This window comes from Homo sapiens, chromosome 1, assembly GCF_000001405.40.
Source record: "Homo sapiens chromosome 1, GRCh38.p14 Primary Assembly".
NCBI classification, from domain to species: Eukaryota; Metazoa; Chordata; class Mammalia; order Primates; family Hominidae; genus Homo; species Homo sapiens.
Genome location: NC_000001.11, coordinates 214,426,984 through 214,452,638, shown reverse-complemented (window position 1 = coordinate 214,452,638; position 25,655 = coordinate 214,426,984). Strand labels below are relative to the sequence as shown.

General features: G+C 39.7%; 1 protein-coding gene across 6 annotated transcripts in view, besides 5 other annotated features; it reads left to right on the top strand.

The window, feature by feature from the left end:
- PTPN14 (protein tyrosine phosphatase non-receptor type 14) overlaps window positions 1-25,655 on the top strand; it is a 202,903-nt gene that overhangs the window by 98,964 nt on the left and 78,284 nt on the right. For all 6 annotated transcript variants that reach the window (NM_005401.5, XM_017001941.2, XM_024448759.2 and 3 more), the window contains one exon: window positions 665-834. In NM_005401.5, the coding sequence (NP_005392.2) occupies window positions 665-834 (170 nt within the window). The remainder of the gene's footprint in view (window positions 1-664; window positions 835-25,655) is intronic.
- Window positions 1,934-2,433: an enhancer, noted in NCBI's record as "H3K27ac hESC enhancer chr1:214623549-214624048 (GRCh37/hg19 assembly coordinates)". NCBI's record gives its function as "activates a minimal SCP1, AML or CMV promoter by ChIP-STARR-seq in primed H9 embryonic stem cells {active_cell/tissue: H9 hESC(primed)}" and the evidence as "EXISTENCE:reporter gene assay evidence [ECO:0000049][PMID:30033119]".
- Window positions 5,515-6,201: an enhancer, noted in NCBI's record as "OCT4-NANOG-H3K27ac hESC enhancer chr1:214619781-214620467 (GRCh37/hg19 assembly coordinates)". NCBI's record gives its function as "activates a minimal SCP1, AML or CMV promoter by ChIP-STARR-seq in naive H9 embryonic stem cells {active_cell/tissue: H9 hESC(naive)}" and the evidence as "EXISTENCE:reporter gene assay evidence [ECO:0000049][PMID:30033119]".
- Window positions 12,520-13,491: an enhancer, noted in NCBI's record as "OCT4-NANOG-H3K27ac hESC enhancer chr1:214612491-214613462 (GRCh37/hg19 assembly coordinates)". NCBI's record gives its function as "activates a minimal SCP1, AML or CMV promoter by ChIP-STARR-seq in primed H9 embryonic stem cells {active_cell/tissue: H9 hESC(primed)}" and the evidence as "EXISTENCE:reporter gene assay evidence [ECO:0000049][PMID:30033119]".
- Window positions 12,866-13,205: an enhancer, noted in NCBI's record as "active region_2533". NCBI's record gives its function as "activates an Ori minimal core promoter by ATAC-STARR-seq in GM12878 lymphoblastoid cells {active_cell/tissue: GM12878}" and the evidence as "EXISTENCE:reporter gene assay evidence [ECO:0000049][PMID:35858748]".
- Window positions 24,710-24,759: an enhancer, noted in NCBI's record as "active region_2532". NCBI's record gives its function as "activates an Ori minimal core promoter by ATAC-STARR-seq in GM12878 lymphoblastoid cells {active_cell/tissue: GM12878}" and the evidence as "EXISTENCE:reporter gene assay evidence [ECO:0000049][PMID:35858748]".

Sequence of the window (25,655 nt, the reverse complement as noted above, 5' to 3'; positions counted from 1 at the left end):
CATAATCTGCCAAGAACAGCCACCAGGGGCTCCTGCAGCAGCTGTGAGGAGGCGATCCTTCCTCTCTCAAAGCTTGATATGGGGAGAGATTTGCTGCAGTTCGTGTATAATAAAGTGGAAGAGGATGATACTTTTTAAAGCACACGAAAAGAGTGAATAAATTCTCCGTTAAAATCTGGTACTGTATGAAAATATTCTACAGTGCAGAAGCTTTCAGTTGGCAGGCGGTTTTGTCTTAGGAATTGAGTAATAAGTTACATTGCAGCAGGTGCAGGAGCGGTGTTGGTCTTTGCCAGTGTGCTCCATGTGAGATCATGAAGCATGCAGAAGGCACACAGAAAAGGCAGTCTTCAGATATCAGGGGAAAAGTCAGCACTATCCCTTCCCTGCGCGACTCCCCTTACCTCACATGGGCGCTTTGGTATCTGCAAGCACAAACAGTAGTAATGAGTAGGGATACTGCATCTGGATACTCCATGTATGTTACAGTAGTGTGTGGTTGTGGTTTCTTTTGATTAGTCCCAAAGTTATATGTCAAAGCTGGATCTTATATATGGGCTGGGGAACCCAGGGTGGGATGCAGCATGCTGGAGTCTCGTTTCTTGTGTGGCCTTGGGATGCTTGTGGTGAGCATGAACTGATGCTATTTTACCCTTTTATCTAGACGCACTACTTTGGCCTTTGGTTTCTCAGCAAGAGCCAGCAAGCACGATGGGTGGAGCTGGAGAAACCTCTGAAGAAACATCTGGACAAATTCGCTAATGAGCCTTTGCTTTTCTTTGGAGTCATGTTCTATGTGCCAAATGTGTCATGGCTTCAGCAAGAGGCCACAAGGTAGGTGCATTTTCCCCCTGTGTGCCATATAAGGGTGTTGACTAACTGTGAAGCTTCCAATGAAGTAGATGAGCTGGTAGATTTAGGGGTGTGTGGGTGTGGGTGCGGGTGTGTGGTGGGGGAGAGGGTAAAATAGTTGGGGGTTGTTTACTCATTGCTTTGCAGCTTTAGAGTTTTGGTTGAATCCATGTAGCTAACCCCAGCAGTTTTCTGTAATGCTGGTAAGGTAGTAGGGATCCTGAGCCAGGCAGAATTTCATCTCTAGCAGCGTGGAAATATTCATCGGAGACTGTGGGTAAAATAGGCATGCAAGAATTTAATAAAAAATTAATGACCTGGCCAGGCGTGGTGTCTCATACCTGTAATATCAACACTTTGGGAAGCTGAGGTGGGAGGAGAGCTTGAGGCCAAGAGTTTGAGACCAGCCTGGGCAGCATAGCAAGACCCTGTCTCTACAAAAAGAAAAAAATATAAAAACTAGCTAGACATGGTGTTTTGTGCTTTTAGTTCCAGCTCCTCGGGACACTGAGGTTGGAAGATCACTTGAGCCCAGAAGTTCAAGGCTGCAGTGAGCCGTGATCATGCCACTGTACTCCAGCCTGGGCAACAGACTGAGACCCTGTCTCAAAAACAAAAACAAAAACAACAAAAACAAAAACAAAAACCTAATTCTGTTTTGTCCACCCTTTTCCTAAAAATATCCCCAAACAAAATGTGGTATCAGACTTCGAATTTGAAGATTGGAAAGGTAACTAAAAGTGGGAGTAAAGTTAAGGAGGAAAATGTTGCGAGAGCAGGAGTTTTGATGATTGTCCCTACTAAATAAGAGGAGACAAGAAGCCATCAGTAGAAGAGGAGAACAAGGTATTGCAGCTACTCAGTGTCTGCTTTAGCTTGGAGAAACCGTGTGCTGCCTTTGAAATGATGTTTTCCCCTCTCATCTGTAAAGTGAGGGATTTGTGTAAGTTCATAAAGCATATTCAGTGAATGGAATAAGTGCATTTTTTTGATGTTGGTATAGTTCATTTATTGGTAAGAGTTTTCCATTAAAATACCTGGGAAGTCTCCTCATCAAATGGATATTTCTGGTAGGAAAAGGAATCACATAAACCCTTTACTTTTTGCCTTTTACCCGGACCTTGTCATTCTGAATGCTTGGGAAGCAATGCGGGAACATGCTTTGAAGAAGGAAGAGTATTCTACCTGACTTTTGTGTAGTTTTTAGATTTTAAATTTCTGATATAAGGATGCTCTTGAAATTTTTAAGTGTATTTTAAGGCAATATTCTGCTTGCTTGCTTTTTCTTTTTCTTTTTCTTTTTTTTTTTTAATTTGAGACGGAGTCTTGCTCTGTCACCCAGGCTGGAGTGCAGTGGCACGATCTTGGCTTACTGCAGCCTCCACCTCCCAGGTTCAAGCGATTCTCGTGCCTCAGCCTCCCGAGTGGCTGGGATTATAGGCGCCTGCCACCACGGCTGGCTAATTTTTGTATTTATGGTAGAGACGGGGTTTCACCATGTTGGCCAGGCTGGTCTCGAACTCCTGACCTCAAATGATCTGCCCGCCTTGGCCTTCCAAAGTGCTAGGATGACAGGGGTGAGCCACTGCGCCCGGCCTCTGCTTGCTTTCTTTAATTTGGCTTTTATTTATTTATTTATTTATTTATTTATTTTGAGATAGAGTCTTGCTCTGTCACTTACACTGGAGTGCAGTGGCACAATCATAGTTCACTGCAGCCACAAACTCCTGGGCTCCCGCAATCCTCCTGCGTCAGCCTCCTGAGTAGCTGGGACTACAGGCATGTGCCACCAAGCCTGGCTAAATTTTCTTCTAATTTTGTAGAGATGAAGTCTCGCTGTATTTCCCAGGCTGTCTTGAACTCCTGGCCTCAGGTGATCCTTCTACCTTGGCCTCCCAAAGTGCTTATTTTTTTCACTTTCGTTCTTTCCTTTTTTTTTTATTTTTATTTTTAAATCAAAAGGTATTGTAAGTAGATGGCATAATTGCAAACAGAGGCCGTGAGTTAGCTTACAGCTTGATCCAAAAAACCTAGTGTTCAGTTTTTCATGTGATAGACATTTAAAGCACTCTGTTGCATACCATTGCTCCCTGTTTTCAAGTTGATTCACATATCCAAGTTCTTCCTGTACAAAAAATTATTAACTCCTCAAAATGTGATGATTTCCGTTGGCTTTTGAATCCTCCTTGAGTACTTTACACGGTGCTAGGAACACAGCATTAAGTTAATAAATACTTGCTGATTCTTGGCTCTCGGCCATTAAGTGCAAGGTAATGAGTGATGAGGGTGAAACATGGACTAGAAATTAGTGTATATTGAAAAAAGTTCTGTCTGTAAGAAAAATGAAGTATTGTTACTCTAGACAGACCTATCCTGTAAGGCCTATTGGTGAGAAAGAGCAGTTGAAATAAAGAGGGACTCAGAAGTTATGCTTTATGAAGTTAAAAGAAAAAGGTTGTTTAAGCTTAGAAAAATTAAGTCGGCCGGGCGCGGTGGCTCACGCCTGTAATCCCAGCACTTTGGGAGGCCGAGGCGGGCGGATCACGAGGTCAGGAGATCGAGACCATCCTGGCTAACACCGTGAAACCCCGTCTCTACTAAAAATACAAAAAATTAGCCGGGCGTGGTGGTGGGCGCCTGTAGTCCCAGCTACTCGGGAGGCTGAGGCAGGAGAATGGCATGAACCCAAGAGGCGGAGCTTGCAGTGAGCCGGGATAGCGCCACTGCAGTCCAGCTTGGGCGAAAGAGTGAGACTCCGTCTCAAAAAAAAAAAAAGAAAAATTAAGTCTTACAAGGGCACAGTAGTAGCTGCCTTTAGATATTTACAGACTGTTGTAGGAGGGGGAATTCTTTGTCAGTTCTGGAGCACAAAATTAGGGTCTAAGTAAGTGAAGTCCAAGGAGCCAAAGAACTTTGACTATTTGGCTCAATGTAGGAATACAGTTTCTAGTAACTAAGCCATCTAAAAATGGAACAAGACTTACAAAAGGGTGAGAGCACTGGTCTCTGTGAATGTTGTCACGTGGACCAGGTAGCCCATGTGGTATCCTGTAGAGGGAGCCACCATATTGGGTAGGATGTTGGAATAGATCAGTGGTTCTCAAAAGACCAGGGCCTGCTGTATCATAGTTACCTGGAGCACTTATAAATATGATTCTAGAGCTGTACCAGAAGTCTGGTTGTAATGTCTAGAGCTGAGAATCAAGAGGATGTTATTGTTTAAAATGAATAGGCCGGGCAGTGTCTGACACACGGTGGCTCACGCCTGTAATCCCAGCACTTTGGGAGACCGAGGCGGGCGGATCACGAGGTCAGGAGATCGAGACCATCCTGGCTAACATGGTGAAACCCGATCTCTACTAAAAAAATACAAAAAAAAAAAAAAAAAATTAGCCCGGCTTGGTTGGGGGCACCTGTAGTCCCAGCTACGCGGGAGTCTGAGGCAGGAGAATGGCGTGAACCTGGGAGGCGGAGCTTGCAGTGAGCCGAGATCGCGCCACTGCACTCCAGCCTGGGCGACAGAGCGAGATTCCATCTCAAAAAAGAGAAAATGAATAGTACTCCTCTGGTGTTTCTGACACTCACCCAGCCTCAGGAATCAATGAATCAGTTAACCTCTAAAACTCTTTACAATTTTAGATTTTCCAAGGAAGTAAACTTAATGCTGCATTGTTTGACTGTCAATGTTTGCATTCATAGACTAAAACAAAAGGTATTTAAATTTCAAAGAGGGAGGTATAGAGTAAAAAGTTTTGGTAGTGGTGGTTATTAACTGTGGGATTTAGGAAGGACTTTTCTTTTTTCTTTAGAATTTCTTTTTGCTTAATTAGCCTGGTTTATTTCAGATGAAGGTTGATAAGGAGGGAAAGAAGTGTTTTCCAACACAGGATTTTGAAGCAAACTGTGTTGCTGACATTTGATCAGAAAAACTAACAAAAAATTTTAAACTTTGAAAGATATTTTTAGATTTAAGCGCTGGAACTAAATTATGTAGATTTCAGGTCTAACCAACTCTTTATGGCAAAGAATGTTGAAAGTTAGGAGTTGGATTAGCATGCAACATTTTGTCTGTGCGTGAGTATGTGTGTATGTTTGCAGCATTGCAGAAATTTTTGTTGCCTCCAAGGGGCCCTAAAACTGGAATGTGCCAAGGGGTGTCAGAGTGAGTAAAAGATTTAAGCTGGGAATATGGAGGAACATGAGAAAAAAAAAATGTAAGAAATCAAAGAAAAGTTGTTAGGAAGAAAAGAATAAAGGAATTACATTTATTTGGGAAGGTTGAGGGCCACCAACAACGATCAGGTGTGATTCAGCAAGACATGCCGTAGGTTGTAGGCTTATGGACTAGAGAATAAAGGAGATCTGGTTTGGACAGAATAACATTTTTAAATGCTTGAGTTTTCTCGGTGTGGTGTTGGAGATGGACAGATGTGCTCAACACAAGGTGAAAAATGCTACAGTCCTTAAGAGCCTTTGGGAATCTCAGCCTTCTTGGGAGGTTTTAGCAGCATCTGAGGTCCGAACTGAATATTGAAACTGCCTTCCAGGCAGCTCAGCCAAGGGGAAGCAGTGGTGGTGGGGCAGGATTCCAGAGGAATGTTTCACAGAAGGCCCCAACAACATTCATTAGGAGCGGGTTAATGACTAACTCTCCAGTCATCCGCTGTTATCCCAGTTACCAGGCATCTCAGGTGGAGATGGGCTTTGGCATCTCTGAGAGCACCTGGGATCTGCAGTGTCTGACACAAAACAGTTAGTCTTTGTGATGCCCTGCAGAGTAAGATATTTGCATAGATTAGAAATAGAAATCTGTCTTTCATTTGCGGGCAACCCGTTGGAGGAGGCAACCATTCAGCCATCTGTGCTGAAAAAAATAAGCCTTTGTCTGGAGCCAACCAAACTTGTTTTCATCCAACACATGTTTGCAATGGTTTGGCTACTTCTGTTTGAGAACAGGTTCTATAGCATTAGTCATGACCAGCCATTTCTTCTCTCTGAACAAGGACAAAGAGTCTAGATTAATACTCTGGTTGGGTTTTCCTTTTTTTTTTGCTGTGTATATGAACCCATATATATATCAAGACACATAGGAGTCAAAGGAAAATACATTTAAAAGCTGTTTATTTAATTTGTTGTCCCCAGAGAATCACACCCATGGAAATTTTTAGGTCAGTAGTGTATTCAGAACAACACAACAAAAATTTGAGAGTGACATTGATTGCAAATTGTTTAATAAAGTGATTGGCTTTATTAAAATTATCAAGTCCAAATTGGTTTAAATTAGAAAATTAGGAGGCACTGCTTTTTTTGACATTAATTTGACATACTGTGTCTCATCTGCTAGATATGGCTTTTGAGGGGCAAGTCCCTTCATAAGTGAGGGAAACCTGCCAAGACACTATGATTGTGTTGGATAAGAAATGGATAACTCAGGCCCTACTTTAAGGTGTTAATTGAATGAGAAAACAAAATATATTAAAAGGAAAATACACACAGGGCTACAAATAAAAGGAAAAAAGAAGAAATCCCTTGATATTGTTATAGAAATGTTAAAAGAAAATAGTGAAAAGAAGGACACACTCTGGTAGACAGATGGGGGATGAGTCATGAAACCATAGGATTTAAAGAGATTAAGAACCACCGAGTTTGTTAACCCCAAACTGTAAGATTTATTACCTTGGGGCTTTGAAAATGTTAGTTTTCCCCTGTTGGTTAAAATGACTCAAGGGATGGGACCACTGTAATTTTTTCCATTTTGCTTTGCTTCTCAGATTCCTTTTTGCCAGCTTTTCTGTCCAGCAAAGGGACTCTTGAGCAGTTCATCTTCCCCAGCATGTTCTCCTGACTCAAAGGAAAGATTTTTGTAATGTGTTTTAATGATTTGCATAGCAACAGGCTCATTATAAACACATGGTTTTCACATTTTTCTGGACACGGAAAGAAAAAAGATGGCTTCTGAGAGGTGGATAAATTCTTACTCAAACAGAAGGATACTTAATAATAGCAAGGGGAAGCCAGAAAATTGCTGGCCAAGATCACTGCTTTTAGTTTAGGTCTGGGGTTTTTCCAAGTCTTCCTCAAGCATGGAAGTCCCTCTTTAATTTCTTCAATACTAAAGAGAAAACTTTTAAAAGAAAACTTAATTTTTGAAGAGTGAATTTAGGCTACAAACTTCTAAGTTGCTGAGTGCATGCATGGTTTCTAAAATTTTTAATTTTGTGGTTTTTTTTTTTTTAACCAAAACATGTTTGTCTTTGCATTACTCACTGTTGAATGTTATGGTTGCACAGTGCACAGGAGCTTCTAATTGTCCTAATGAGGTCAGATAACATTTCCTACTTTTCCAGGACATCTTAGTAGCCTGCCTGTTTGGGTGGGGCTGTCCACCCTATTAATGGTGAGCACTCTACAGAATTGACAGAGTGCAACTACTGCTGTAGCCAGCACGGTCATTCCATTTGCCAAGGATGATTTTAGTACACTGTCGTACATCTGGCAGACACATCAGGCCCACAGGACCTGTTCCAAGTACCCTCTATCTGGTGGATGCTATGTCTGTTTTCGGTGCTTCTCAGCAGCTATGGGTATCCCCTACTCTTAGGATCAGTGATCTATTGTACATCTCCCAGTTCTTCCAAAGTCCTGGGTATTCTAGTCAGCCAGGTAAAACTGCCTAGCAGTTATCACCAGGAGGATTTTTAAAATACTTAATCTCTGTATGGGCTTGCATGGAGCATTCTTAAATGTTAAAGATAGTTCCTGTCTGGGAAGAACCAAGTGGACAGGTTGTCTTTCAACCAACTGAGAATAAATACCCACATTTAAAGCTGTGCTGTTTAGGTACCAGAAAGAGGGTAAGTGCATTTCAGCGTGTGAAGTGAGTGACAAGGGAGTTAGGTTAATGCATTTTTAAACTATGATGGGGGTCCCCTTTTTCCAGTTACGTATTTGGGCCCATGGCATGTTGATGGGAAAGCCAGACTAAGTGAAGCTGTATATCTTCATAAGGGTTAAAATGGTGTTTTGGTGTGTGCATGTGTGTGTCTCTCTGTGTGTGTGCATGTGTGTGCTTAAACTAGGTTTCAGGAAGTGACCTTACAGTAGCTTTCTTCACATTTTCTTTCTTATAAATACCAATACTTTTCCCCCTTAGACTCCTGCAATCTGCCTTGTGTGCTGTTGTAAACAAGTTAGTGTTCAACCAGTGTTTAAAGTGTCTGTTTTAAAAGCTCTAATTATGGTAGTATTTCCATTTCCTTTTACAACACCCTTTATTTTGTTCCTCCAGTTCTTTTAGTTCTTTTATTATTTTGAAATGTCATTTTACTGGATATTTAAAGTCTACCCGTGGGCTGGGATACAGGGACTCCCTTCAAGTCTTAAGATTAAGCATGAATTCCCTGTGGATAATATAATTTGCTGAGAATAGCAAATTCTCCTCCTGGCCAGCTCCAGCTAGTGAATGGGAAATTGTTCTCTTTATGTTGGTTATTGAGAATGGAATTATTTCTGCCAGATATTTTAGATATTTTAAGATGCAGTTGACATTGGGATCTAATCTCAAACATTCTGTGTGGTTAATGTAATGTACAATGTGATGAGAGAAGATGGCTGTCTGTAATAAACAGTGCAACCTTGGAGGGAAGAAGAATTACCTTCCCAAAATGAGATAAGTTGATTGTCATTTGCATTGTTTTTTATTTCAACCTTTATTAAGTACCTATTCTGTGTTAGACACTTTGCTAGTTAGTGGGAATGTAATAACAAATAGGTCTCAACTCCCCACCTCCCTCCCACTCTCACTCCCACCACAGAGCTGTATCTCCAAGCAGCTTTTATTTCATTTCCGTGTATTTGATTTACTAGAAGTTTATTTGAATTTGTCTTTAACGTCTACATTGCTGACCCTATTTACTTCCAGGAGAAGGCAATGCCACTGCTTTGGTGAAACCCAAGGGCAAATGTCTCCTGGGACCAGGACCAGCTTCATGGGTCTGTGACCTGTGCAGTTAGTTGCACAGTACCCCATGCTCAGAAGTGCCCTGTAGTTGGTTTAGTGCTCTGCTGTTGCCATCCTGAAGTTTTTTGGTTTTTCAACAGTGGATTCTGCATTTTCACTTTGCGCTAGACTCTGCAAATTAAGTAACCAGCCCTTCCCAGGACAAGGACAGCCTCCTGTTCCTCATACATGCATCTCTGTTCGTTCACCTCTGCTTGTTTTGTTGTTATCTTGCGATTTATTCTTAAGTATCGGTGGATTTACTGATTTGAATCTACTGTTATGGGTGTGATCAAAGAGAAAAAGTAAATTTAATAAACCCTCAAGGGAACAAAACTAAAATTTTCACTGTCTTTGCAAATAAGAAAATAGAAATGTAGCGCTGGTAACCATTTCTGCTTCTGGATCTGACTCACTGGGAAATCCTTGCAGGAATTGGGGAGGTGGTGTAAAGTCAATTTGATTTCTTTTAGGAAAGCTGATTGGATTAGCTTGTCTTGATCCTCAACTAGGATTTTCTTATGTTTTACTGTGAAGAAGACTATAAATCAAGACTATACAGTAGATGCCTACTTCATAGTACAAGTTGTCCAAATACATGAAGTTGCTTCTTGTTTCTTTCTTTGCTCTTAAGAAAAAGATATGGTGTGAAAGATATGCAGTTAGGCTGGGCGCGGTGGTTCACGCCTGTAATCCCAGCACTTTGGGAGGCTGAGGCGGGTGGATCACTTGAGGTCGGGAGTTCGAGACCAGTCTGACCAATGTGGAGAAACCCTGTCTCTACTAAAAGTACAAAATTAGCCTGGCATGGTGGCACATACCTGTAATCCCAGCTACTCAGGAGGCTGAGGCGGGAGAATCGCTTGAACCCAGGAGCAAGAGGTTGTGGTGAGCGGAGATCGCACCATAGCACTCCAGTCTGGGCAACAAGAGTGAAACTCCGTCTCAAAGAGAAAAAAAAAAAAAAGAAAGCTATGCAGTTAGGTAGTTAGCTATTGAGGCAACCTACTGCTACTAGAACAATGAAGTATAGACAAATAAGATGAAGTTAACTTAGCCGAAGTTAACTTAGCCGTAAACATAATCTAGCTGTTTCTCTGATATTCTTTCCCTTTAGGGAAAACAAATAGTAAAATAAATCAGTGTTCTTTTGTAATATCACTTGGCATAACTTATTATTTATTGTAGGTGTCCTATAATGAAGAGGAAACTCAGAATTTCAAAAGGAAATAAATCAGAGGCATTATTCGTATTTCAAAAGGAGTCTTCATGTAATGTTTGTGTTCTTTAATGCATCTGAGATGTTTGATTGAGATGCTTTATAAAGCAAGATATGCTTATACGTATGTTTTAGCCATTAGAAAAACAAAGTTTACCAAAAAAATAGGTTGAGCATCCCTAATTCAAAAATTCAAAATCTATAATGTACCAAAATTGAAAACTTTTTGAGCACCAACATGATGCTCAAAGGAAATGCTCGTTGAAGCATTCAGGATTTCTGATTTTTGGATGAGAGATGCTCTACTGGGTAAGTATAGCAAATATTTCAAAATCTGAAATCCCAAACACTTCTCGTCCCTAACATTTTGCATAAGGGGTACTAACCTGTTTAGTATACTTCAAAGAAGTGATAATTTTATTATTACATCTTTAAATCACATGGTTAATGTGTTAGTATTTGGTCTATTTGGAACTTTTCTCAAAAGCAAACAAAAATAATGTGCTATTGAGCTATTTTGAAAATAAGTTCTTAAGCAGAGGTATTGATTTTTATCCTTTGTGAATTCCTTGATTTTCAAAGATACATTCATTCATTTGTTCATTCATTCATTGATTCCAAATTGTTCTTTATTAGTGTTACATTGCAGGACTGAGAAAGATTAAACAATTGAACTCATGAAATAATAAAGATTTGTAATAGAGCATGAGTCAAAATGTTAAAATAGTCTACTTTTTCTAAAGCTTGAGTAGAATACGATGATGCCACATTGTAGTGTTTACCTTTAACAAAGGTGTGAAAAGAAGGGGGAAAAACAACAGAAGCTATATGAAGAGGTGTTTTGTCATGTTGAAGCATGCAGGCTGTGCCTTATGAATTTTTAAGAGACATCCGCTTCCCATAAAGGATTCTCAAGATTGTAGGGGTATCATTACAATGGGTGGGATTGAGAATGGTGTGTCAATTTCAAAAATGGATTTTAAAAAAAATCTTGACGTTGGAAGAGGTGCAAAGAATAGATGTTTTATAATTGTTTGCTCTACCTTTTTTCCTGAATATCAGCATTGGGACATTCAGTTGGAGTGGAGTGGGTGGAGAGGAAGGAAGTGACAGATGTGCTACATCCACACGTTAAAGAAACTTACAGTGTCTGAGCAGCAGCAGAATCTAGAAAGCACAAGAATCCAAAACCTCAAAACTTCCCCAGCCTGAGGATATTATAGTTCTGTGTGGTTCTGTGGAAAAATGTAGTTGCGTTCCATCACCGGATATAATGTAACAGTAGTAGTCATGGTAGCAGCTAACATTTATGTGCAAGATGCTATGCTAAGTATCTCAGATTATTATCTTTTTCAGTCTTCACTAGAACTCTATAAAGTGGGCACCCTGAAAAAGAACTGTTTGTTTTTTAAATAACAGAAGTTTTTTCTCTAACAAGTGGAGTAGATTTAGGTCATCACATAAATGGAGTCTTTTATATTACTTTGCCAGAGAAATACATCCGTTCATGCCTTTCTTCACTGGCTTTATCAGAGTAACAGGGAGTTTAGTTCCATAAAAAGTCAACAAAGAAATCCAGAGGGCTGACCTACCAGTAAGATCAGAGATTATTAACTAGTACTATGAGGGCTGATTCTGGTCTTCAGGTGGGTTTTGTTTCACCAGGATCATTTTTGAAAGAACTGAATTGGGACGCCTTGCAGAGAGGCATGTGCTGTCTAACTGGGCCTAGTTCTCCACTCCCTAGGGAGTTAATAGTCAGCAGCATTTACACATTCTTGTGACCTGTCTGGCCTTGTAGGTATTTAGGTCCTGACTGCCGATACTTGCACTTTCTGTATAACTTGAAGTGCATCTCAGTACTTGGGTCAGCCCATATCTCTTCATTGACCCAGTTGATTTTATGTCATTCAGTGTCCAGCTGTATTAACACTTTAGCTGCCTATAAGAGACTGTAGGTGGTTGAGCTGAGTGTGAGAGTATAACTTCCCTAAGTGCTCATTTGAAAACTTTATTTCTGTGTAAAGATCACTCCGGAGGGCTAGATTATATGTCCCTGTCAACTTTCTACTGCAGAGCCATGGCTCAAATTATTCAGATTTCCTCTCTTTATTGCTCACAATATCTGTCTCATCTCTGATTACCCATAAAAGGTTCATGCATAGAAAGAGTACCAAGCGTCTTATAGGCCAATAAAGACATCATTCAAATCTTAAACAAACACAGCCTATTTGAGAAAGAGCCCTTTGCCTTATATCAAGACAGACCAGAATGATAGAGTTTTATATCTAAATATGAGACCCCACATATCAATAAATCACAGAGACCAGTTGCTTTGTTTTACAGATGAAGAAACTGAGAAACAGACAGATAAAGGGACTCTGCCCATAGTCACACAGCTGTTTAGTGACAAGCCTGGCTCTTAAGGTGGTTCTGGAATGGTTTTAGGTGAACCAAGCATGCTGACATGGGAGAGCCCATAGATAGGATTTATTTAAACGTTCAAAAAGTCTTTGCCAATCCTCCCCTCCCCTCCCCTTAGCTGTAACAGCTAAGACACACTGTGGAATTGGAAGGGATGAGTTTTGTCAAAGAGAAGGAAGTAGTTCAGACAGAAGAAACAAAGGGTAGAGGGAAACAGGCACTTCTTTGAGTGAGTCCTTTAAATAGCGAGCATTATGTAGAGAGTGGAACTAAAATGGGTTTTATTTAACGTCTTTATCAGTGATCTCCAGCCCTGGGCACATAGTGAAAGTGCCAAGCTTTCAGATGACACTGAGTCCTTTAGAAGGGTGGAAAATTGAGACATTGCAAGTAAACAGTAGAAAGGTGTCAGCAGGTGTCAAGTTACCAGGTGTGACTCAAATAATGATACTGCTTTCTGGTGTACTTTGTAAAAGCAGAGGAGGCGTAATCATAGCGGGACATGTTGCAACATGTTTCGGTTTACAGCCTCCTAACTCTCAAGGTCAGCTCGTCAATCTTGTGCTTGCAGCTGGGGAGAGTGAGTAGACATTTCGCCTGACGTTTGCTGCCAGCATAAAAATGAGTTACCGTTATTCAGAGCAAATCCCAGCAACTTTGACGTAAGTTTAACTGAAATGCGAGTTAGACACATGGTCCTTTAGTAGAAAATCACAGAGATGAAGCAATGTTGGAAGCAAATGCTTTTGACCAGCATAAATGTTTTGAAGAAGGTAGAAAAGATAGATGTTTATGACAGTGACTAATGTGAGAAACCCATAGGTCTAACTAAGGAAAACATGAAAAAGGTCGGTAATTTGGATCCTTGAAATAAAATGGCCAACTGTGAAAAGATAGCTACTGATGAGGATACTGATGGAAAATTTGAAGCAAGTTATGTATCTGCTAGAGCTCTGTATGTTTTGAATGATTGTTGGAATCAGCAAAGAACTAGTATTTTTTGGTTTAATCTTCAAGGAAAATAATAGCTGGAAATAAAACAATAAAAAAAACACTACAAAGGAGAACATACATTAATGTGGGAAGTAGGGGGAAAAAAAGGAAAAAGAAGGAGAACAGACTTGAAGACCTCACTCTCTGGTGTTTGTTTCTTGGTCAGGCTCTGTAAACTCCCCAAAATTAAGTTCTTGTGTTTAGAATCAGGAGATGATGCTAGCATAGCTATTGTAAGGATGAGTTCAGAAAGCATTTGCCATTGTGCTTAGCATATAGTAGGTCTTCAAATAATATTTGTTTTTTTTAAATGAAAAGATATACTAGAAGGTAGCAGGAAACTGCTGCATCCCTCAGAGAGCTGTGCTGGTATCAGTCACCTGGCAGAAGATTCTCTGTGACCCACACTAACCAGAAACATAGGGGAAGAACATTCTGGGAAATGGAGTGCAGCCTAGTCAGGTTGAGACATTACAATGCCACTGTGAGGCTTCGTACATTATTAATGATTAGTAAAACCCAAATCACTGTAAACCATACCCTACTAGAAACTCTACTGAGTACAAATTTTGTACTGACTGGCGATTTCCAAAATTCAGAATTACTCCCTCAAAACAAATGATTTGATATTATTGAAGATAACTTCAAATTTGTCCCTAATTCCCTCAGGCAATTCCCAAAAGTGGAATTGCAAACAATAATTTAAGCAAACATTTTGTGTTATTATCATAGACATGTATTCCCAGGGAGGTTCCCCACCCTCATTCCAGTCCCATATGAGGGAGCAGATCTGCTGCAGAGGACGCGGCCTGGTGCTTTGTCCTGTGCCGAGTGTAGGAAGGCTAAGGTTATCAGGCCCGAGCAAGGAGACAGGATAAAGCGGGCCTTGCCTCACAGCTTCCCAGATGGTCAGAGCAGCTGTTCAGAACAGGGAAGCCAGGTTGGCTGCCACAGGACGGGCCAGGCTGACCCAATGGTAATCTCACAGTACTTGTAACTTGAAGAGACTGTAGTCTGAAAAGATAAACAGATTCCAGTGAAAGATTATTTAAAGAGATGATAGACTCCTGATGAGTGACAGTTATTTAAAAAATAAAAATAAGACATTGGGAGCCTGTTGGTTCTTTGAGTGTGGTCTTCACACTACGTGCATCAGTATTGCCTATGGCATTTTAAAAAATATGTAGGTTATTGTACCCCAGTCCTGACTCCCTGAATCAAAATCTGTTTTTGATCATTGCCATGGGTGATTCTTATCATTTAAGTTTGGTTAAATGGAAGACAACTGTATCCTGATGTCTTTTCAGCTGTAGCTGGTCTTTTCTGTTAGTAGATGGATGTTGGAGAATCTCAGGGGGGATTTTGGGGAACTGGGAAGGAATTAAAGAGTTGCAAAGCTTAAAACATTTGGTTCAGGCTGAGGAATTTAGAGAATAGATGGCGTGGTCTTATTTAGTAGAAAAATTGTGGGCGTCTTCCTGGGGATCCTAGAAGGAACAGAATGGAGAATCCAAGGTTCTTCTGTAGCAATTTTGTACAGTTTGATTGTATTTCCTCTCTTTCAGAATATTTTAGCCTTCTAGGTAGTTCAACTTCTGTAATGCACAATAGATTATGCATAATATAATGAGTAATACATCTCCTAAATAGGTTTAGGGGATATATTAAATACTATTTATTGCATAAGAATTTAGCCTTTTGTGCATCCTTTATTTATTATTAAATTTATTATTCCTATAAGAATAATAAAAACTGGCCTGAATTATACTACTCTAGGACCCTAAAACCTTAAACACAACTTCCCACTGTTTCTGCAGGCTTTGAAGTTACAGATTGAATTTTAATTTTTAAAGTGAGAATTTTGCAAAACTGAGAATTCTACATATGGATTTCAGTAATTCTTTTGCCACTGTCTGATTTATTGATATTTACTGCATTTAGGTAAGTGTAAGATGAAATAATAGGTAAATTAAGAAAAAAATAAAATAATTTCAGCCAAATAAAATTCAAGGTTGTGAAAACATTATTTCTTTCCATTATCAGTTATTTGAAAAAATATTATTTCTGGCACTGGTTCATGAAATACTTGATTTCAACTACCAACTAGAAGTACACTATATTTAAGTAAAAAAAAAAAAAAATACAGAGAGGCTTGGTTCTAGATAGCAGTTATCTTAATTTTCCAGACATCTGTGACTACTTCCTTACTATATACATTGAGAGATTTTGTGTGTTGCATTTGCATGCATACAAGCACACCCATGATTTTGTGATGTGCTGACTCTTGTTAAGAGTACTTGAAAAGCATTATCCTGAGAGCTAATATTCTGACAAACCTTTTTTTTTTTTTTTTTTTTTTTTTTTTGAGACGGAGTCTTTCTCTGTCGCCCAGGCTGGAGTGCAATGGTGCGATCTCGGCTCACTGCAACCTCCGCCTCCCGGGTTCAAGTGATTCTCCTGCCTCAGCCTCCCCAGTAGCTGGGATTACAGGCGCCCACCACCATGCCCAGCTAATTTTTTTAGAGAAGGGGTTTCACCATGTTGGCCAGCTGGTCTTGAACTCCTGACCTCAGGTGATCTGCCCGCCTCAGCCTCCCAAAGTGCTGGGATTACAGGCATGAGCCACTGTACCCAGCCCTAACTGTCTTTAACCAAAAATCTCACACTTACTTGAAAAAATATGGTTTCAAAATATTTTATCCACCACAAGTTGGCAAATGGCAGGTAAAAGAAAACTGTATTTTTTTTTAACTTTATTTTAGATACAGGGGTATACGTGTGGGTTTGTTATATAGGTAAATTGTGTGTCACGGGAGTTTAGTGTACAGATTATTTCATCACCCGGGCAATAAGCATAGCACCTGATAAGTAGTTTTTCAATCCTTACCCTCCTCTCACCCTCCATCCTCAAGTAGGCCCTGGTGTTTGTTATTCCCTTCTTTGTGCCCATGTGTTCTAGATGTTTAGCTCCCACTTAAAAGTGAGAACATGCGGTATTTGGTTTTCTGTTCCTATGTTAGCTCACTTAGGATAATGACCTCCACCTGCATCCATGTTGCTGCAGAGGACATGATCTTGTCATTTTTTGTGGCTGCATAGTATTCCATGGTGTATATGTAACATATTTTCTTTATCCAGTCTACCACCGATGGATATTTAGGTTGATTCCATGTCTTTGCTATTGTGAATGGTGCTGCAGTGAACGTACATGTGCATGTGTCTTTATAATGGAATGATTTATATTGCTTTGGGTATATACCCCATAATGAGATTGCTGGGTCGAATGGAAATTCTGCCTTAAGTTCTTTGAGAAATCGCCAAACTGCTTTCTACCATGGCTGATTTACCATGACTAATTTACATTCCCACCAGCAGTGTATAAGCATTCCCTTTTCTCAGTTATTTTTTGACTTTTTAATAATAGCCATTCTGACTGATGTAAGGTGGTGTATACCTCATGGTGGTTTTGATTTGCATTTCTGTAATGATTAGTGGTGATGAGCATTTTTTCTTATGCTTGTTGGCCACATATATGTCTTCTTCTGAAAAGTATTCATGTCCTTTGCCCACTTTTTAATGGGATTGTTTGTTTTTTCCTTGTTAATTTGAAAATCTATATTGTTTACACCCAGTTCACTGAATACTTTTTTTTTTAAAGGGTTTCATGAACTATTTAACCATTATACTCTAAAGCAGGCATTTTTCCTTTCTGGTTTAAAATGATTATTTTCTAATTTAGGACATTGTATAATTATAACATAATTATAACTAGAATATGATTAGAACTTCATTTAAAGCTTTGAACATCTAAAGAAGAATGGTGGGTTGAATTACGGATATTGTTGCCTGTTGCTCTGTGATACTTGCATTTTATCTCAACACACACACACACACACGCACACACACACACAGCAGACACACTACCGGACTGAACCATTTTACTTCTTTTCATCCTGGCCCAATATATAAATAATTGATTAGAGAGCATTAAAGTAGGTGAGGGGGAATCAATTTCACTTTTGATAACGGGAATGAAGTACTCCTATATTTTTAATTGTCTAGATCAAGTTTGTGCAACCCGCAGCCTGCGGGCCACATGCAGCCTAGGATGGCTTTGAATGCAGCCCAATACAAATTCACATGGGCATTGTACAGATTCTCCTCTTGTGGCTTTCACTTAAGAAACAGAATTTTGTAAGGATAAGGGCGTTACAAATCATCAAATTGAATCCCTCTTTCAAGAAACCAGTCTCATAGTCACATGATTATTGACCAGGGCAAAGAAGTCCAGGCATGTGCTTTTGGAATGGCATCCTGTGCCACATCCTCCACTAAACATGTTTCGCCGTGGGTCCCTCTCCCACCCTGTGTGCAGCCCAAAGACCGACTCCCTATTCTGCTCTCGGTTCTTCCACCTTTTCTCTGGGTCCTCAACACTTCATCCAGGGCGACTCCAATTTCATGTAATTTTCAAATATCTTTAATATCTGCTTCTCATAGATTCCTTGCTTTTGATTTCCAACCACACTTTGCTTTTTCTATATTAAAAATTAACCACAAAATATTTCACACTTTTATACTTCCTAATTACTATTTAATATCTCTACTACCATTGGATGCCTTTTCTTTTTTTTTTCTTTTGATTCACTTTCTGTTAACTTACTCATTGCTTTCATCAGTTTTTATCTGTTCCTTCTTGAGTCCTTGAAAAAGCATGTCCATCGTTGATTTTGCTTATATTTGCCTCTTGAAGGTTACCAGAGGACACTGCCAGCCCTGGGCCAGGGGCCTTTTCTCACTTTTAGACAACGTTAGACATGGAGAGCCCACTCCTCAAAATCCTCTCTTTCCTTGGCTTTTGGTGACCTTCACCTTATCTCATCTCTGACCTGCCTATTTTCATCTTGCAATCTCCAATTTACTGGAACCCTGTCCTTCTAATTTTTTCCCTCTTTATATTTGCTGTGCAATACAGCTCAATTGTCTTTAGCCTTTAGAAGTACTTTTTTGGGTTTTTCTTGAGACAGGGTCTTACTCTGTTGCCCAGGCTGGAGTACAGTGGCACAATCACAGCTCACTGCAGCCCTAAACTCCTGGGCTCAAGTGAACCTCCCACCTCAGCCTCCCAAGTAACTGGGAGCACAGGCATGCACCACCATGCCTGGCTAAATTTTTTGAGTTTTTTTTTTTTTTTTTTTTTGTGTGTGTGTGTGTGTGTGTGTGTGTGTGGAAATAATGTCTCACTATGTTGCCCAGGCTGGTCTAGAACCCCTCGGCTCAAGCAGTCGTCCTGCCTCAGCCTCTCAAAGTGCTAGAGCTACAGGCATGAGCTACCACGCCCAGCTCTAGAAGTAATTTTTGACAGATGTGGCCTAACTTTGTACCATTTACCCACATTTTATTCTTGATTTCTTGCTGACAGAAGACAGTCATTCATTCGTTTATATATTGAATATCTGCTGTGTGCTGGGAACTGGACGTATAAGCAGAATACAACCTTTTTCTTAAGCGTATATTTATGGCCCCTCTGCTTGTTGTTACATTCTTGCTTCAGTGTCCTCAGAGTGGTGATGACGACTATTTGTCAATCATCTCTACCCACAATACTCTGGCTCAATCAATCCTTGTAGGAATCAGAAAGGTAGACAGTGATGAACTGTTAGTTACTTGCTGCCTTCTCTTGATTTTAAATCCTCCCTTAAATATCCCATTTTTCTATAAGTAGCTCTAAGATTCTTTCACTGTCACAAATTGCAAATCTGTCACCAGAGCCCCCCACTTCCTCATGTCATTTGTTACACTAGACCCTGCCAGTTTCTTCAAGCTCCACCTCTGCTTGGTAGACATTTTCCATACTTGGAGTCAAATTGTTGTCTTTGTGCTAGTAGTCATTTTTTAAGATAGGCTTTTTGGTGAAATATAACATATGCACAGACAAGTGCAAAAATGAAAAGTGAGGCCGGGCTCACACCTGTAATCCCAGCACTTTGGGAGGCTGAGGTGGATGGATCATGAGGTCAGGAGATGAAGACCATCCTGGCAAACACTGGGAAACCCTGTCTCTACTAAAAATACAAAAAAATAGCCGGGCGTGGTGGTGGGCGCCTGTAGTCCTAGCTACTCAGGAGGCTGAGGCAGGAGAATGGTGTGAACCTGGGAGGCAGAGCTTGCAGTGAACCGAGATCGTGCCACTGCACTCCAGCCTGGGCGACAGATGAGACTGTAAGAAAAGTGTACAGCTCAATGAATCTTTGTAAAGTGAACACACCCATGCAGTCAGTCACTAGTTCAAGAATCAGAGCATCACCAGCCACTCAGAATCCTTCATTGTGCTCCCTCTCAGTGTTTATGGATCAGGATAACCATGATCCTGAATTCTAATATCATATATTAGTTTTGCTTTTCTTTTAAAAAAAAACTTTTTAGGTAGAGTAATACAGTATATGCTCTTTGATGTCTTACTTCATTGATCAACATTTTGTGAGTCATCTATATTGTTGTGTATAGAGATCATTCATTTTCATTGCTGCTTAATATTCTATCAAAGGAAGACATACATTACAATTTACCCATTCTACAAAGGACATTTGAATTGTTTACATTTGGGAGCTATTACAAATGGAACTGTGTTGCTGTGAACATTTCTAGTACATGTCTTATGGACAGTCTCACACAGGCTCTCATGAATGTACTTATTTCTGCTGAATATGCATATGCTAGTTAGTAGTTTTCCAAAAATTGTATTACTGCCAGCGAAATGAAAAGCAAATTGTAAGGCTGAGAAATCTTAAATACTTGGTCTTATGTTTCTTTTTTCTTTCTTTCTGTATTGAATTTGTTATTCATTAAACAAATGTTAAGTACCTTTTATGTTTGAGGCTCTCAAGGGATATCAGTAATCATAAAAGCAAGTATTGTGGCATTTATTTAGTTGCAAATCCTACTGATTTTTTTTTTTCTTGAGACAGGGTCTTGTTCTTTCATCCAGGCTGTAGTGCAGTGTTGCAATCATAGCTCACTGAAGCCTCCTGGCCCATAGTTCCTGGCCCAGGAGATCCTCCTACCTCAGCCTGGGTGTAGCTGGGACTACAGGCATGTGCCACCATGCCTGGCTAATTTTTTAAAAACTTTTTTGTAGATACAAGATCTCACTGTATTGCTCAGGTTGGTCTTGAACTCCTGGGCTCAAGCAATCCTTCTGCCTTGGCCTCCCAAAGTGCTAGGATTATAGGCGTGAGCCACTGCGCTTGGCTGATCTTTCTTAATATTAACAATGATGACTCCTGACATTTCATGAGTGTTTATGGCCAAGCACAATTCTAAGCTCTTCATCCATATTAACCCATTTAGCCCTTGTAACAACTTTTTGAGTTAGTACTATTATTCTGATTTCACAGAATAGGAAACTAAGGCACAGAGAGGTTGAGTAACTTGCCCGCACAGTTTGAGTACATGACAGAGCTGTGATCCAAGCCTACACAGTGTAGCTCCAGAATCCACACATTTACCACTATGTGCCGTACCTTTCCAGTTAAATCCATTCTAGTCCGCTGTGCCCCCAATTTATGTCTTCTTACCTCCAGCCTTAAATATAACGAAATGGTAAAGAGCACAGGCTTTACAGTCAGACAGACTTGGATTTGAATTCTGCTCTGCCATTCACTCTTTGTATGTTCAGGTGAGTTATTTATCCTTCTTAAGACTCAGTTTCTCCATGAACAGAAGCTCTTGTGAAGATTATACTGGTTAATAAACAGAAAAGCACACTTTGTAGTACCTAACACTATCATCATTATTATTTGACCTCCCAATTTGTATCTGTACCACCCATTTATATAATGTGGTGTACATACCAACTCTAAAGCATCCTTCTAAAGGATTGCTTTCATCATTTTCCTTCCTTTGTCAAAAATACATAATGTCTTACCATTGCTTAGAAGATAAAGACAGACATCCAGAGGCATTTGAAGCATGGCAAGCCTCTGTCTTCCTTTTTGTCTTCTGCTTCCTTACATAGCCCTATTTTACTTGTCTGTGCCGTTCAATGTCTCTGGACACCCTGGGTTTCTCACTTCTTCCTCTGCTCTTTGCAGTACTTGAAGTATCTCCCTTTTCCTCTTTCCTTCTTGCCTTAGAAGCCTCCTTTGCCTTCCAGACTCACCTCTGGGCATTCATTCAACACATTAATTATTTTCAAAGTATAAGGTATTCTGCAAGATATAGAGTGGCACAAGATGTCAGTCCTGTCCTGAATGGGGTTTTCAATCTATTTGGGTAGATTAGATGGTCACATAAAAATATTTGAGCAACATATTAGTATGTGTTGGATGCCAGCTGAAGGTACCTTTCATGGGTGGAATGATAAGGAGGAGCTTTGGAGACGGGCATTATTCAGTGATCTCCAGAGAAACAGAACTAATGAGATGTATATGTAAATAGGGAGAGAAACTTATTTTAAGGAATTGGCTCACATAAATGGAGAGACTTGACAAATGCAAAATCTGCAGGGCAGGCCAGCAGGCTGGAGACCCAGGGAAGATTGAAGTTCAAGTCCAAACACAAATTCTTCCTTCTGCGTGGTCCATCTTTTCTCTGTAAGACCTTCAACTGATTGGACGAGACCCATTCATATTGTGACAAGCATTCTGCTTTACTCAAAGTCTACTGATTTAAATGTGTTAATCTCATCAAAAAATACCTTCACAGAAGCATCTAGAAAAATGACCAAATATATGGATATCGTGGCCTAGCCAAATTGACACATAAAATTAACCATGACAAGAGATGTCCCTGGAATTGGGGCTTTGAAGAAGACATTGGATTTTGGTGAGTCAGCATTGTTAGGCAGGAAAACAGCCTGGACCAGGGGCTATAAGCCTGTTATCTCTCCCAAATACCTAAAGCGGTAGCTCCCATCAGTATCAAGGGCTCACTGATGGATGAGCGGAAAGTGTGAAGGGAGAACATTCCGAGCCAAGGAAATTATGTAAGAGGGGAGGAAAATTGCAATGCAAAGTCCTCAAGGATACCTAGAATGTGGTAGGAAGCAAATAATCGTAGCACAGTTAGCCCTGGATTTATATTTCAGCTAAAGAATTTCTTAAAGTTCAAGGTTTCCCTATTACTGTTGGGTCACACGTTCACAGGATGAAATCTCCTTCTGTATCTTGAAACTAAGTCATGCAATTTCTTCTTTAGAATTTTAATCTGATGAGGTCATTAAGGAAAAATATTTTCTTAATCTAGAATTCCCAGTATGTTCATTATAAAATAAATTCCTTTTCTTTCTTCTCATAAAACCCTGTTTTGAAAAAATGTATCTACCTTTAGTACTTCCTAAAATTATTTTGTCAAATACCCTATATTGATCCTTAGCATGAAGTAAGTAGTGTAACTTAACACAATTTTACATAATTAATATTCTAGTTGGCTTGGACAGCCCATTTTGGGCAAAATATCAAGGATTTTTCATTCATTGTTCATGCATGCATTCAATAAGTTTACTTGAAGACCATTTGGGGGATAAAAAAATAAATATTTACTGAGCATCTGTTATATACAAGGAAACTTCTGGTTACTGGTAATACAGCACTGAACAAAACAGATGAAGTCCTTGATCTCCTGAAAGTCACCTTTTTTCAAATATTTGTAGTAGTTTATGACTGTCAATGTTTTTACAGAGTTCAAATTAAGAATTATAAAAGCATGTAGTACTCTAGCTATCTGAATCATCAAAATCAGCTACCAAATTGTATTCTCTCAAACAATTGTGAAACAATGCATTTTAAATACTAAATAATAGCTTGTTTTCATGTAATATTATTACAGATCTCCTTCACTGAGAAGATAATAAACATATAGAAGATGGTCATGTGAACATATCTATTTCTGGGTGGTAAACTATAAAGGAGTCCATTATGTTTATTCTTATTTGCATATACTTATGATCATATTCTTCTTTAGACTTAAATCTGTGATCATGACTTTTATGAGGAAATCATCCTGTCTATAAGCATGGTCATGCCTTTAAGAATTCATGAAAATTATACGGAACGGGCTAACATGAAAAAGTGAGGCAATATTTGGGATTTCATTCTGTGAGGAAAATGTACTGGACTTAGTTTACTAATGTAAAGTCGGTGGTGGCTCTAGGTGAGTTTTCATAGAAACAAGAAACTTCAGATGGCAGAAATGCATGGCTTAGTAACTATATTATTAATTGCACAAACTTGTTTTTTCTCCCCAATCTTTTTAGTGCATGCCTTTTGATCAAGTTATACTGCAAAGACCATTTTTAAAGTTACAAAAAATGATGATGTTTTTAAAGTGTAGTGGTTTGATAATAGGGCTCAAGTGGGAAGAAAGGAAATACCCTTTATTTGGGCCTTCCAGAGATTTTGCCAAACCCTGGGTGAGAGCAGTGTTTCATTTCCTGATTCCTACCACCTGTCCACTTATTCACTGCACATTTACTACATGGTCTCTTTGCCATTCTTAATCTGGACTCAAAAGTCAAATAATAGAAATCAGAGGGAAATATGTGTGGACTTCGTTCTATAAAGATAGTTCTTTTACAAAAATAGGCAGAGGATTTGAGGGACAAGGAAGAGGAAGAAGATGATAAAAAGGAAAAGGGAGAATCCATTACTATATCAAAGATACTTCCTCTTTTAAAATGATTAGATAAAATGTTTGACTGACGTGGTTTGATGACTATTTTGAATATGTAGGTTTTAATGAAAGATTATGTGGTTATAATTTTTAGAAGACAGTCAAATCCGTTTCCCCCAAATCTGTTTTGTCTGTCAGTTTTCAAAAAGTGAGAAGTCTTTATCTGAAAGGTTTAGTTTAGTTGCTCAGGCCAAAAATCTTGCAGTCATCCTTGAATTCTTTCTCCCATACACCACATCCAGCCTTCAGAATATGTCTGGATTCTGACTACTTCCTTCTGCGTCCACTGTAACCTCTCTAATCCAGTCTGCTGTCATTTTTTCTGACTGGCATTTCCGCTTCCACCCTTGCCCCTCCCAGTCCAGTGTCTACAAAGCAGCCAGTACCATCTTGTAAAATGGGTGCCTGTTTATGCAGCTCCTTTGCTCAGTACCTTCCACTGGTTTCCCATCTTACTGTCGTCAGAACCCTTACCGTGCCCTGCGAGGCCTTTTGTGGTTTGTACCACTTCCTGCCTTTTCTGTCAGCCCAACGATTCATCCTCTTGCTCACTCTTTGCTACATTGACCTCTTGAACATTCATGAATGCACGACACTAGCTCTCCTGAAAGCCTTTCTACTTGCCATTCCCTTTGTTTGAAGTGAAAACCTCCATCCCCCAAATATCCACATGGCTAGCTCCTCATTTTTTTTTCAGATCTTTGCTCAGAGTTCGCTTTTATTAGAGAAACCTTTCTTGACCACCTCCTACCTTGCTACTCTCTGTGTCTCTTGCCTGCTTTTTTCTCATTGGACCTATTGTTTATTTACTTGATTTTTGCTTGTCTTCCCCACTAGACTGTGAGCTCCATGAGCAAGAGCAGAGAATGGGTTTGTTTTGTTCACTGTGATATCCCTAGTGCCTAGAATAACTCCTGGCATGTAGTAGGTGCTCATTAAGCTTTTGTCAAATATGAATGAATAAATAATGGAATATATGTATGTATATACTTCTGATATTTTACCAGTAAACTAAGTTGGTTTACTTTTTAAATGAAAGTACTATAAAAGGATAAGAAATCATTATACTAATTTAATAGAATCTGACAGCTTTTATAATGATTTCTATTCAATACATTTTATGCTGGTTTCATGAACATTAACAAATTATAGGAGGCCTTATATTTTCTGCAATCATAATTTTTTTTTTTTTTTTTTTTTTTTTGAGATGGAGACTCACTCTGTCGCCAAGCTGGAGTGCAGTGGCACGATCTCGGCTCACTGCAAACTCCAACTCCCTGGTTCAAGTGATTCTCCTGCCTTAGCCTCCCGAGCAGCTGGGACTATAGGCATGCACACCATGCCTGGCTAATTTTTGTATTTTTAGTAGAGATGGGGTTTTACCAGGTTGGCCAGGATGGTCTCGATCTCCTGACCTTGTGATCCGCCCGCCTCGGCCCCACAAAGTGCTGGGATTACAGGCGTGAGCCACCACGCTGGCCTGTAATCATAATTTTT